Below are 15,015 nucleotides of genomic sequence, written 5' to 3' on the forward strand. Positions count from 1 at the left end.
TTGGATTTTGTAATGAAACACAGCAGGGAGAATGTGGACGTTAAGGTAAAGAAATACAATATGCCTGAAATCTGTGTAAGATCTTTCTAACTCCTGGTATTATGATTAATTTTCTCTGGGAGGCAGCCAACAGTGACATTATGCTGCTGTTGAGAGATCTTCTTTTAAGGGAGAATGTCTGGTGATGCCAGTCTGAATAGCTGCACAAATGATGATGTCTATGTCTTTACTAAACTGGGATTGTTTGATGAATCTAAAGAAATTTTAGAGCTATGTGGAGCCCAGGGTAGAAATTTGGTTATTTTTCCAAGTATTGAGCAAATGTACCTTTAGAGGCCAAACAATATGAGGTACAACAATATGCGGTAAGGTCTCATGAAAAGAACGTGGGGTCTAGTGTCAGAAAATCTGATTTGAAGAAAAGCCCTGTTGTGTTCTGAGAGTGGATTGAGGGTAAGTCACTCTCTTTGGATGACAGTGTCCTTACCTGTGTGATGTCATTAATGACATCTATACATAGATAATCATGACAATCAACTAAAGTAATATACGTGAAAATCACTATATACATCTGTTTCTTGAAGTCAAGAGGTCTACAGATTCTTCCCAACTCTTCCCTTAAAAACAACTAAACATCATGGAAAAAGTATTTTAAACTCTCTTTTAAAAAATATAGTAAAGGGATGGCAATAAGAAAAAAGAATGTAAGCAATCAAAAACTCAGTAAACCTGAGAACCTAGAGGGATAAAGAGGAAAATGAATTTGAGTTTCACCCTGAAGACACTTACCAAGTCTAAATGAACTTAGTATTGGGCTTTCACAGTCTCCCAGAAGACATGAGACAATGCCCAGGACCAACTTCAGGTAGGATATCTAAAACAACATCACTCTATCTTGGCGTTAGGCTAGAACTTCCAATGGGTGTATTTTGGCATAAGGTCATCTAGAAATAAACCAGACTGCTTTTCTTCCCAGGAAACCATTTAGAAAAATCCCTTGTCTCAAACCATTTTTTTTTTTTTTTTGCAGAGGAAAGAAAAAAAAATTGCTTTGGAAACCTACAACTACAACAAACTCTCACATAGATTTGTACACCAAATTTACACTAGCTACCAAATTTACACTTAAACCAGCAAAAGCTGGTTTAAGATACAAGGATTTTAATCTCAAATCTTCCTAACATAGTAGTGCTCCAGATGTATGGTGGAAGTAAATGCCAACCATTTGTGGAGTAGACAACCCTCAGCCTACATCTCAAAGGAAGGCAAGCTTATAGTAAGAAAATATTAAATGGGTAGTCTGGGGGTTGGTCAGGGTAGGTCTCCATGATCAAAAGAGAGCAGTCAAAAACAAAACAAAACAACAATATGAAAATTAGGCCCCCTAAAAGTATGAATATTGAAATTATTAAACAGAATATAAAATAAGCGGCCGGGCGCGGTGGCTCACGCCTGTAATCCCAGCACTTTGGGAGGCCGAGGCGGGCGGATCACGAGGTCAGGAGATCGAGACCATCCCGGCTAAAACGGTGAAACCCCGTCTCTACTAAAAATACAAAAAATTAGCCGGGCGTAGTGGCGGGCGCCTGTAGTCCCAGCTACTTGGGAGGCTGAGGCGGGAGAATGGCGTGAACCCGGGAGGCGGAGCTTGCAGTGAGCCGAGATCCCGCCACTGCACTCCAGCCTGGGCGACAGAGCGAGACTCCGTCTCAAAAAAAAAAAAAAAAAAAAAAAAAAGAATATGAAATAAGCCTGTATGTCTAAAAATAGGAGACTATAAATGTAAGTAAAGACAGAGTTCTGTTTCCAACTATGATGGAGTAAGTAACTTGTATTAAACTAACCTCTCTACTGAGAAAAAAACAACCTGTAAATGTGGAATAAATTTAGAAAACAGATATTTGGAGGCATAACAGAGCAAAGGAGGTAGTGAGGGCTTGAGGGGAGGATATCCTGGAGAGATGCGGGCATGGTGGGGCTATGTGTGGAGGTGATGTGAATGCTGTAACTTGCCTTCACTCTTTTTCTTTTCATAACATTTGCCAATATACAACCAGCTCTATAGAAGCCAGACAGGAGTGACCTAAAGCTTGGGACAGTCACTCTGGGCTGAGGAGACAAAAACGGACACTTAAGCTAGAACTTGAGAATCAAGATCACAGAGAAAAAGGAACCAAAGAGAAAGCAGCCCACATTTAACTATGTAATTTCATCTTTGGATATTTACTGACTCCTGAATTTAGTATTCACAGTTTAACACAGGAAACCAAGTGAAACATATGATGTTCCCTCTAGTACTCATTTGATAAGAATTTTTTTCATGAATGGATGTAGAATTTTACAGTTGTTTCTGTATACAATTTTTTTCTGTACATTTTTTTCTATATCTATTTAGGCAATTGTATGACTTTGTTTTTCTTTTGAAATCTGCCAATACAGTGCTTTGCATGGCTTGATTTTTCAAATGTAAAAACAATGTTGCAATCATAGGATACATCATACTTGATCATATTTTTAGTCATAACTAGATTTTCTTTTATTTTGGTAAGGATTGTTTTATGCCTATTTATTAATGATACAGTGAATTTTATTACTTACAAATCTGTCTGGTTTCAGTGTCAGGGTAATGCAGGCTTTGTATACTATGTCAAAAAGATTCCCTGCTGTTTTCTCTTCTAGAAGAGCTCATTTAGAAATGGTATTATTTGTTCCTTAAGTGTTTTAATAAAGTTTACCAGTGAAATGCTCTTTGTGGAGACAATTTTAATCACACATTGTCTTTGATACAGGGCTACACAGGATATCTATTTTTCCTGAATGAACACTGGTGATTTTGTATCTTTCAATGAATTTCTCTAACTAATCTAAGCTGTTAAATTTATAGGCATAAATTTTTAAATATTCCATTAATATCCTTTTAATTTGTAGGATCTTTAATGAGTCCTTTCACTCATAATATCGGTAATTCATATCTTATTTTTTTCCAATCACTCTGTCTCTCTGGCTGGAATTTTTCTTTCTTTCACTGACAGTCTCAGTCTCTCTTTCTGTGTGTGTGTGTGTGTGTGTGTGTGTGCGCGCGCGTGTGTGTCTGTTCACTGATTTCTGCTTTTATTTTCTTCCCATTGCTTATTGAGTCTAATTTACTCTATTTTATTATAATAGAAACTTAGATTACTGATGTCAAATAGTCTTATTTTTTAATATAAGCATTTAATACTATAAATTTTTATCTGAATGCATTTTAGCTGTATCTTCCAAATATTGATATGTGTATTTTTATCTTTATTGCATATCAAATATTTTCTTTTCTTGAGATGGAGTCTTGCTCTGTCACCAGGCTGGAGTGCAGTGGCACCATCTCAGCTCACTGCAACCTCCGCCTCCCGGGTTCAAGCAATTTCCCTGCCTCAGCCTCCCAAGTAGCTGGGATTTTAGGCACGCGCCACCATGGCCTGGCTAATTTTTTGTATTTTAGTAGAGACGGGGTTTCACCATGTTAGCCAAGACGGTCTCGATCTCCTGACCTCATCATCCGCCTGCGTCGGCCTCCCAAAGTGCTGGGATTATAGGCATGAGCCACTGCGCTCGGCCGCATTCCAAATATTTTCTAACTTCCCTTCTAATTTCTTTTTTAATTCAACACAACTGTCTTAGAATTTACGCAATTCTAAGAAAAGTACAAATGGCTTAGAATTGTCATTTGTGCTTGTGTTAATTATCAACTATTTAGACATTTTCCAAATCTCTTTTTTGTAATCAATTTCTAGTTTAATTCTGTTATGTCAAAGAGCCTAACAGGGATATATGACTTCAATTATTTTAAAATTATTAAGACTTGTTTTCTGATGCAGAATATGAGTCACTCTTGAGGCATATTCCTTATGCACTTATAAAAAACATGAATTTTGCTATTGTGTAGGATTTTCTATGAATACCAATTATGTCAGTTTGGTTGATAGGGTGGTTTGAGTCCTCTGTGTCTCTGCTGATTTTCTGGAGTTTTTATTCTTTAACTGATTGAAAGAGATGCTGAAATTTTCAGCTATAATTGTGAATTTGCCTGTTCTTCCTTTCAGTTCTACTGATTTTTGTTTTGTGCATTTTAAATATATGTTATTAGAGGCAGATATATTTAGGACTTCTATGTGTGTCTTCTCAATGAATTAACACTTTTATCATTTTGTGATGCCCTCTGTATCCCTGGTAATATTTCTTTCTTTGAAGTTTACTTTCTCTGATTTTAATAGAGTCAAAGTGTCTTTAATCAGTGGTTTTACATTACTTCATTTTTCAGACCTTACTTTCTCTCTATTTAAAATACATTTATTGTAGATAGCATGTAGTTTTGTCCTACTTTTATTTGTATCCAGTCTGCCATTCTTTGTATTTCAAATAAAGGTTAGTCATTTACATTGAATTCATTACTGATAAGTTTACCATATTCCTGTTGTTGTTTTTTATTTGTCCCATCTGTTCTTTGTTCATTTTATCCCACTTTTTTCCTGCCTGATTTTGGATAGAATATTATCAATTTTTCCATTTTATCTCCACTAGGCTTAGTAATTATAGTCTTTCTTTTTATTTGCTGCTTTAGAGGTTATAGTCACATTTTTAACTTATCCCAGCCTATCTTCAATAATATTATGCCATGTGAAATATAAAGCATGTAGAATAGCTTGTCTTCATTTGTTTGTTACTGTTAACATAAATTTTACAACTAAATATGATTACCAAAATACATCATTAGTATAGTCACTTATTTTTTACAGTTATTAAATATAAAGAAACTATCTTTTAGGTTTATTTTCTTACTTTCACTATTTGCGGCATTCTTCATTTCTTGGTATAGATCCTAATTTATTTTCATTTGGTATCATACAACTTGTCTCTGAAAAGCTTTCTTCAGCATTTCTTGTCTGCTGTGGTGAAATGTCTCATCTTCTGTTTCAATAAAAAAAGTCTTTATTTTGTCTTTATGCTGCCCAAATGTTTAATTCTGGGTTAACAGTGTTTGTTTGCTTTTAAATTCTGCAATATTTAAGATATAACTCCATGTTTTTCAAAAATTCTGAAAGGTGTGCTATAATTTTTACTTTTACCCTTCTGTATGTGTGTTTCTTTTTACCTGGTTGCCCTAAATATTTTTTTCTATTTCTGCTTTTCAGCTGTTTGATTATGATATGCATGAGTGTGTATGTGTGTTTCAGGTTTTTTATCCTTGGGATTCCCTGGATTTCTTGGACATGTAGAGTTTTTTCTTTTTTAATTGGTCATTATATTTTAAAATATTTTTCTGCCCTATTCTCTATTCTTGTTCTGCAACTTTAGTTACACATAGATTAAACTATTTGATATTGTACAACAGCTACTGAATACTCTTTTCCACTATTTCCCTTTGTGTTTCCATTTAGATGATTTTTATTTTTATTTTTTATTTTTTTAATTTTTTTTATTATTATTATACTTTAAGTTTTAGGGTACATGTGCACAATGTGCAGGTTAGTTACATATGTATACATGTGCCATGCTGGTGTGCTGCACCCATTAACTCGTCATTTAGCATTAGGTATATCTCCTAATGCTATCCCTCCCCCCTCCCCCCACCCCACAACAGTCCCCAGAGTGTGATGTTCCCCTTCCTGTGTCCAAGTGTTCTCATTGTTCAATTCCCATCTATGAGTGAGAACATGCGGTGTTTGGTTTTTTGTCCTTGAGATAGTTTACTGAGAATGATGATTTCCAATTTCATCCACGTCCCTACAAAGGACATGAACTCATCATTTTTTATGGCTGCATAGTATTCCATGGTGTATATGTGCCACATTTTCTTAATCCAGTCTATCACTGTTGGACATTTGGGTTGGTTCCAAGTCTTTGCTATTGTGAATAATGCCACAATAAACATACGTGTGCATGTGTCTTTATAGCAGCATGATTTATAGTCCTTTGAGTATATACCCAGTAATGGGAAGGCTGGGTCAAATGGTATTTCTAGTTCTAGATCCCTGAGGAATCGCCACACTGACTTCCACAATGGTTGAACTAGTTTACAGTCCCACCAACAGTGTAAAAGTGTTCCTATTTCTCCACATCCTCTCCAGCACCTGTTGTTTCCTGACTTTTTAGTGATTGCCATTCTAACTGGTGTGAGATGGTATCTCGTTGTGGTTTTGATTTGCATTTCTCTGATGGCCTGTGATGCTGAGCATTTTTTCATGTGTTTTTTGGCTGCATAAATGTCTTCTTTTGAGAAGTGTCTGTTCATATCCTTTGCCCACTATTTGATGGGGTTGTTTGTTTTTTTCTTGTAAATTTGTTTGAGTTCATTGTAGACTCTGGATATTAGCCCTTTGTCAGATGAGTAGGTTATGAAAATTTTCTCCCATTTTGTAGGTTGCCTGTTCACTCTGATGGTAGTTTCTTTTGCTGTGCAGAAGCTCTTTAGTTTAATTAGATCCCATTTGTCAATTCTGGCTTTTGTTGCCATTGCTTTTGGTGTTTTAGATATGAAGTCCTTGCCCATGCCTATGTCCTGAATGGTAATGCCTAGGTTTTCTTCTAGGGTTTTATGGTTTTAGGTCTAACATGTAAGTCTTTAATCCATCTTGAATTGATTTTTGTATAAGGTGTAAAGAAGGGATCCAGTTTCAGCTTTCTACATATGGCTAGCCAGTTTTCCCAGCACCATTTATTAAATAGGGAATCCTTTCTCCATTGCTTGTTTTTCTCAGGTTTGTCAAAGATCAGATAGTTGTAGATATGCGGCATTATTTCTGAGGGCTCTGTTCTGTTCCATTGATCTATCTCTCTGTTTTGGTACCAGTACCATGCTGTTTTGGTTACTGTAGCCTTGTAGTATAGTTTGAAGTCAGGTAGCGTGATGCCTCCGGCTTTGTTCTTTTGGCTTAGGATTGACTTGGCGATGCGGGCTCTTTTTTGGTTCCATATGAACTTTAAAGTAGTTTTCTCCAATTCTGTGAAGAAAGTCATTGGTAGCTTGATGGGGATGGCATTGAATCTATAAATTACCTTGGGAAGTATGGCCATTTTCACGATATTGATTCTTCCTACCCATGAGCATGGAATGTTCTTCCATTTGTTTGTATCCAAGATGGCCTAATAGGAACAGCTCTGGTCTACAGCTCCCAGTGTGAGTGATACAGAAGACAGGTGATTTCTGCATTTCCATCTGAGGTACCGGGTTCATCTCAGTAGGGAGTGCCAGACAGTGGGCGCAGGACAGTGGGTGCAGTGCACCGTGCGCCAGCCGAAGCAGGGTGAGGCACTGCCTCACTCAGGAAGCGCAAGGGGTCAGGGAGTTCCCTTTCCTGGTCAAGGAAAGGGGTGACAGATGGCACCTGGAAAATCGGGCCACTCCCACCGGAATACTGCGCTTTTCCAATGGGCTTAGGAAATGGCGCACCAGGAGATTATATCCCACACCTGGCTCGGAGGGTCCTATGCCCACGGAGTCTCGCTGATTGCTAGCACAGCAGTCTGAGATCAAACTGCAAGGGGGCAGTGAGGCTGGGGGAGGGGCACCCGCCATTTCCCAGGCTCGCTTAGGTAAACAAAGCAGCTGGGAAGCTCGAACTGGGTGGAGCCCACCACAGCTCAAGGAGGCCTGCCTACCTCTGTAGGCTCCACCTCTGGGGGCAGGGCACAGACAAACAAAAAGACAGCAGTAACCTCTGCAGACTTAAATGTCCCTGTCTGACAGCTTTGAGGAGAGCAGTGGTTCTCCCAGCATGCAGCTGGAGATCTGAGAACTGGCAGACTGCCTCCTCATGTGGGTCTCTGACCCCTGACCCCCGAGCAGCCTAACTGGGAGGCACCCCCCAGTAGGGGCAGACTGACACCTCACACGGCCGGGTACTCCTCTGAGACAAAACTTCCAGAGGAACGATCAGACAGCAGCATTCGCGGATCACAAAAATCCATGGTTCTGCAGACACTGCTGCTGATACCCAGGCAAACAGGGTCTGGAGTGGACCTCTAGCAAACTCCAGCAGACCTGCAGCTGAGGGTCCTGTCTGTTAGAAGGAAAACTAACAAACAGAAAGGACATCCACACCAAAAACCCATCTGTACATCACCATCATCAAAGACCAAAAGTAGATAAAACCACAAAGATGGGGAAAAAACAGAGCAGAAAAACTGGGAACTCTAAAAGCCAGAGCGCCTCTCCTCCTCCAAAGGAACGCAGTTCCTCACCAGCAACAGAACAAAGCTGGACGGAGAATGACTTTGACGAGTTGAGAGAAATAGATGATTTGTATTGATCTATCTTCAAGTTCAAATGATTTTTTTATCAGATACCTCCAGTGTTACTTCTGCACACTGAGAGAATTATTTATCTTTGATAATATTTTTATTGCTATATTTTCATTTGTCCCTCTTGTAATTTCTCTGTGTGTGTTGAAATTCTGCATCTTATTATGCATGTGTCCACCTACTCCATGAATTACTTTAACACATTAATCATAGTTTTTGTTTTTAAGTCTCTGTCTCCTAGATACCATACCAGGGTCATCTCTGAGTATTTTCTTATGCTTTATTTGGTCACAACATATTTTTTTCTTCTTGATTTTTTGTGAGTCTCATAGTTTTTTATTAAATGTTTCATGTTGTACATAAAGGAACATCAGAGTCTGAGGTAAAGGCTATTTACACAAGGAAACGGGCCATTAGGACATTTGTGTGTGGTGGTGGACTTGACCTGGGTTTGGGCTTTGTTGCTCCTATCAACACGTTCATGCATGACAGTGGTGGATTGCTGTTATCCTTTGTTTTAGAATGCAGCCTATGGTGTCACCAGCTGTCAGCCACCTTAAATCTCATTAGCCCTTCTATATACGGACATTAGAGTCTGCCCATACTATTGCTTCGTACACAAAAGGAGACTGCTGTAATTTTTTACTTGGCACTGTACTCATAGTGGCTGTGGTCTCTGGTGTTCTCTGTTCTCCTGGTTCAACCTCAGTCTTTTGCCAGCCCTATGCAACCAAGTCTTGTGGGTTAGGGTTTCATAGTGTCTTCGCTTCTCCTTCCCATGGCTAATTCTGCTCTGCACTGTATCTGTGGTGGGTGTGGTACAGGAGAGCATTTTCTGGCTCTCTCCAGCCTAAGCAGACCTCAGCTTTGTAGCCGCTTGAATCCTGAGTTTTCTGCTCCTCAGTCAGGATCAGAGTATTTTTTCTTATATTATTCATCCAAAGGCAATGGATCTTTGGTGTGACTTGATAGTGGGAAAGTCTTTATCCCTCTCCTAGAGGCAGACATACTTTGCTTCTATGCAATTCCAGAAGCAATAGCTCTTTATGCTGGTCTTTCAGTGGCAGCCAGTTATCTCCTACAGGTTTCCATCACTAAAGGGTACTCTCTCTGGACCTTGTCCTCGATCTTTTTCATGAGAATCCTGTTAAGACACAGGGAAAAGAACCTACAGTTGAGCCACCACTATTTCTGAGGTTCTCAGGAATGCTAGGCCACACTCAACCTTGAAGAGTTAGTTAATGTATTAGTTGTTTTTTGCTCATTTACTTTTATGGCTCTTACTTTTCCTCCCCTCGTTCTGACAAAGGCAAAAGAATGCATGAGTCCTGTCTCTCCTCACAGGGGCTCGTCGACCTTTGAAATTTAGTCTTCCTTGTCATCATATTCTCTGATGGACTCAGAAAATGTTATGATTTTGTGTATTACCCAACTTCTCCTGGTTGTTAGGATAGAGGCAACATTTTCTTTTGGCTTTCTATATCCTATGCAGATATGGAACAATCTGGTGTATTCTATATTGCTTTGGTAAATGTTGTATTCTCCAGGCCCTTCTTTGAAGCACAGTCCTCTGATGGGATTTCTTACATTCCACATTGTATCTCCCAGAGCATGCCATTCTCTCTCAGCCTGAAAATGTTTTTTTTCTACCATCTTCCATACCAATTCTAGAATTTCTAGTTCAGTTTGTGTGGAATGTCACCTTTTTTGATACTTCGAGAACCTAGCCTAGCAATATGGCTATATCATCTCTGACATCCTTGCCTGGGTATTAAGTCCTCTATCCCAGGAGAGTGGTAGAAAATCAATAAACTCTCCCTTTTCTGACTTTATTTTTCATTGCCCTTTAACCAAAGCACCTTCAGAATCCAGGATCATGACACTCTCCTGGCTCCTGCAGGTGTCCTGCTGAAGTCCCGCCGTTGCTTTGTCGAACACTTCCTTTCCTCCTGTATGAGGCCCAGCACATCTCCAGCTGGATTATACCGCAACTTTAAACCAAGTTATAGTTGTAATATCTTGAAGGGGAAATAGAGACAGATTTGGGATGACTGCTTTCAGAATTAGCTTTTAATTACTGATTTGTCATATTTAGCCTTTATTTTTTTCAAAGCATCAATCTAGTTAAGGAATAGACAGCTAGTCCATTGTCTATCAGTGACTGTTTATCCCACTATTTCTCAATTACCTGATATATCACAGAGGAAACAGCATTTCTTTTTGCTGATATAGCATTCTAGTTGACTGCTGGTGAACATTTTAACATAATTGGAATACCATCTTGTTCCAGGGGCTATCTTTGCTCTACCTACCACAAGAGATGAATTCCTTATTGATAACCAGACAGTAGGTGATCCAGCTCCAAAATCACATCATACCTTCAGCTTTTGCAGAATATTCTGCATACTAACTATTGAAGGTTAGGTTCTCTGCTATACTTGCAGGAGGTTTATTTGGGAGTCCTTTTGGGATTCTTATGTGGGGAAGTGAAAGAAAAGAAGCAGAATTGGGTAGGGATAGAAGTTGAGCTTTGATATGTAGTCTCTGTGAGATGCCTCAGCCAACCCTGTATGTGTGAGGAAGGGGGAAATGAAGACAGAATGGGCTTTCAGACCTCTCCATACATACTCATATAGGTTATTGGATGTGGACCTCCATGGGAAAGTGATATAACCTTGGCCATAGTGACGCTCTTCAAATGGGCTATCTCCCAAGATGACCTACATATTGGGGGGGTCTGCTGGAAGGAATTAATATGCCCTGTATTTCTGAAAGGTATCTTAGAAGCATATCAAGCTTAAGAAATTCAAAGAAACCACATCCAGGCAATCATAGTCAGACTGCTAAAAAATAAAGACAAAAGAGAATATTTTTAAATTAACAAGTGAAAAGGGACCTCAAATAAGCAACAATAAGATATAGAGCCAGTTTTTAGCGATGTCAATCAAAACTTTAAAGCAAAAGAGAAAAATAATTGACAATCAGGAATGGTATTCCCTATGGAAAGCGTAAGTGTGACGGCAACATAATGACATTTTAAGGCCATAATATAAAACAGAGTTTTGTTGTCATTGTTTTGTTTTTTGTTTGTTTGTCCCAGCATAATTGCACTAATAGTAATACCAAAGGTGACTTCACTTATGGAATGGGGGTTGCCTAGACATTTAAAGAGTGACTGGAGGCCAGGCACGGTGGCTCATGCCCATAATCCCAGCACTTTGGGAGGCTGAGGTTGGTGGATCACCTGAGTCAGAAGTTCAAAACCAGCCTGGCCAACATGGTGAAACCCCGTCTCTACTAAATATACAAAAAATAGCTGGGCGTGGTGGCGGGTGTCTGTAGTTCCAGATACTCGGGAGGCTGAGGAAAGAGAATCGCTTGAACCCAGGAGGCAGAGGTTGCAGTTAGCCGAGATCACACCACTGCATTCTAGCCTAGGTGACAGAGTAAGACTATGTCTCAGTAAAAAAGAACAAAAAAAACCTAACAAACATTAGAGGCTCTAATGGGGAATCAAGTAACAGATGGAATCATGGATATATCTAGCTTATAGTGGGTTCACTTTGTTTGCAGAGTCACCCAGTGGTTATTGCCTAGTCCCCAAGAGTATAACTGAGGTTAATATATTTGTAATTTAAAATAACCACTACAGACAGTTCTTGGCTTGTTCTAATACTGCAAACACAAACAAGTTGTAGCTCTGCAGCAGCTGCTATGCCGGAAGTGGTACATTTCTTGGTTAACAAGCCCTCAGGTAGGTGGTATATGCCCACTGATTTAGCAAATGCATCTTTGCTATTCAGATTAGAAAAGAGGATGAGAACAGCTTGCGTATAAGTAGAATGGATATTGATATTCATTTGCAGTTTTGTTTCCTTTTGTCATAATGTCTAAAGAGATCTTGACTGCCATAACATTGCTTAAACTCTCTGTTTCTTGTTGTTATTACACTGCCTAAAGAGATGTGAACTGTCTGCATATCCTGTGTAATATCACATTGACCCATTATGTCAATGACAGAAAACTCACTGGGTAGGATAAGCAACTGATTGCTAATATACTAGAGACCGACGTAAGACACATGATCTCCAGAGGTTGGAAGATAAACCCTATGAAATTTCAGGTTCTTACAGCTTCAGTGAAACATATAGCCCTGTGGTAAGCAGTGTGCTAACATATTTCCAACAAAATAAAAGGCAAAGTGCTCTATCTAGCATTCTTTACCATAAATAAAGAAGCACAGTGCTGGAAAGGCCTTATTGGGCTCTGCAGGCAATATGTTTTACATCTAGGAATGCTATTACAGCCCATAATCTGAGTAACATAGAGGTTGCTAATTTTGAGTAGAGCTATGGGTAATAAGAGGTGCTATAGTAGGTCCAGACTATGGTGCAATCAGCTCTGTCCCTTTGGGTCTTTGTATCCAACCGACCTAATAAAGCTGCAGGTGTCCATCCATTGTTAGATGGAAATGGTGTCACTGAGAATGAGCACAAGCCAATCTTGAGAGCATGACTAAGCCATATGAATAGGTAACCCTATTACCTGGTGCAAGTTTAAGTAAACTGGATAGCCACTTGGCACCAGAACCTATCTATGCCTCACTTATAACCAGTGATGAGGTTTTCACTGTCAGCTGGCAGCAAATGAAGTAGCTTCCAAATCCCATCTTACATTTTGATATTTTTAGTATCAATTGTTGAAGGGAAATAAGCTGTATTAATATGTATTATGTTAAATAAATTAATAAGGCACTGGAGGTTTACCAGACCTCCCTACTTGTGCAAGGGAAAGGGAGGAAACAGGCTTGGGCAGAGGGGGAAATCAAACTCAAGTGCAGACTAGAAAGAGTTAGCCAACCTGCTGGAGCTCTGGATCATATGAGACCTTTCAGTGTTGTCTCACATTAGATAATAATGGTAAGATACTTCAGTTAGGTAACAGTTTACAGAAACAGGCTTCTAGAATGGAATGGAGGCTGTCTTTCATTTAATTATTCACTTATTCAAGAAACTATAATAGAAAGAGGTGTCAAGAAATGAAAGTAACTAGCTAATAGCCTCTAGATTTAATATGTCTTTTGTGTGCAATACTTGGTAATTCAGGGAGCTAGTCACATTTCTGACCAGTTGCTTCCTAAGTGTATTACAGTTTTTTTCTCCCATGGAAACATATTTTTAATTACCTAATGGAAGTCAGTAGATAATAAGATTTACATGACAAACATTTCCATTCAGTCACCTTTGCTATAAATCAAAGGCTTTATTTCTAATAAAATAGTTTTTCATGCAATCAACAAATTGAGTATGTGATGTGGTTTATATACTGTGTGGCATGTGAAATCAAAGATGAATAAGTGCTAAGTCTTTTTTTTTTTTAAAAGAATGTCTGTTCTATTGGGAGAGATGAGAGGTGGACATAAACAAAATATAAAATAATATGTATTAAGTATGGGATGACAAGCAAAGTGATGTCATAGTTCAGAATAAGGTAACCCCCATTCAATAGACATGGGATCTCTAAAAGGAGCAGGAAGAAAGTGCATTCTAAGCAAGAAACAACAGCACTGTAATCAAGAAATGAAAGAAAAAAGAAAAGGCAAAATATTTAGGGTAATGCTTACTTGTCCAGGTTACCTAGAACAAAGGTTACTTGTAGAAAAATGAATGAATAAAAGTTTGGCAAGGTGGTTTGAATTTTGTGGTTTCTGAATGCTGATCAAATGACTTAGGACTTTATTAAAGAGACAATGTAGATACTCCCAGGCTTGTTAAGAAGGAAAATGTTGAATAGGTTTAGAACCAGTCTTTAAGAAAATTATTTGCTTGCTTGGAGCAATTTGGATTGAAGTGGAGAAAGTCTAGATGTTTGAGAACTAATTACAAGAATTTTAAAATAGAGCAAGTGAGAAATAATAAGGGCCTAAATGAAGTATTGTCACACCATATTGCAGTTATTTATCTATTGTTCTATCTTATTTGAATTTGAATCTAAATTCCTAACACAGTGTTTAACACGTTGCCTTTTTAAAAAATATGCTTTTAATAAGTAAACATATGAGTCCATGATAAGTTGGAAGGGCTATGCAAATGACAATCAATGGCACCTTTTGAATGATTTTATGTGAGAATTTAAACAGAGAGATTTCAAAGAATTTGAACTTCAGTAGTTGGAAGAATGGTAATAGTTATTACAGAAAAAGCTCAGAAAAAAAGCCCAAGAGGAAGCATGGGTCTGAGGGGCAGTACGGTGTATTAGGTGCAAAATGAGGGCCATCCTTACTTGAGCCAAGAAGGAGTGTGGCTTTGACCACAGTCTCAGAAAATGGCAGTGACCTGCCTGTTCTTCACAGAATGCAGCATGGCTCCAGGGCAGTGAATACTGAAAGAAGGTAGCATCATTTTGACTTTTTAGATGTCTGCTGTTTTAAGATGTCCTGAGGGTTCAATACTCAGGGCACTTAGTGTTTTTTTCAAAGGAATAGCAGGATCCTGTGTGACCGAGCTCCAGAGGATATTTCAGGGTTTGGCAAAAGGGGTAAATGTCCAACCACCAGAAGGAACTCCCAGGAGCAGCAGAAGCTGTACTCACATTGTTGGACATAGGTGGACACAGTCTGGAGATGCCCAGACACTTTTGGGGTGGATAGGAAGTACTTTGTAGGATCCTGAGGCTTGCCAATAATGCAGATGAGTTATTGATCCACAGAACGAATGGACATTATTGTTAATTTAGCCA

General features: G+C 38.8%; 1 long non-coding RNA gene across 2 annotated transcripts in view; it reads left to right on the forward strand.

Moving 5' to 3' along the window:
* The first annotated feature begins 547 nt into the window (after nucleotides 1-547).
* The window catches only part of LOC105370803 (uncharacterized), a 31,061-nt gene continuing 16,593 nt past the window's right edge, over nucleotides 548-15,015 (forward strand). For both annotated transcript variants that reach the window (XR_932193.3, XR_932194.3), the window contains exons 1-2: nucleotides 548-865; nucleotides 1,031-1,276. This is a non-coding gene — a long non-coding RNA (uncharacterized LOC105370803). The remainder of the gene's footprint in view (nucleotides 866-1,030; nucleotides 1,277-15,015) is intronic.

This window comes from Homo sapiens, chromosome 15 (genome assembly GCF_000001405.40).
Source record: "Homo sapiens chromosome 15, GRCh38.p14 Primary Assembly".
In the NCBI taxonomy this organism is placed as follows: domain Eukaryota; kingdom Metazoa; phylum Chordata; class Mammalia; order Primates; family Hominidae; genus Homo; species Homo sapiens.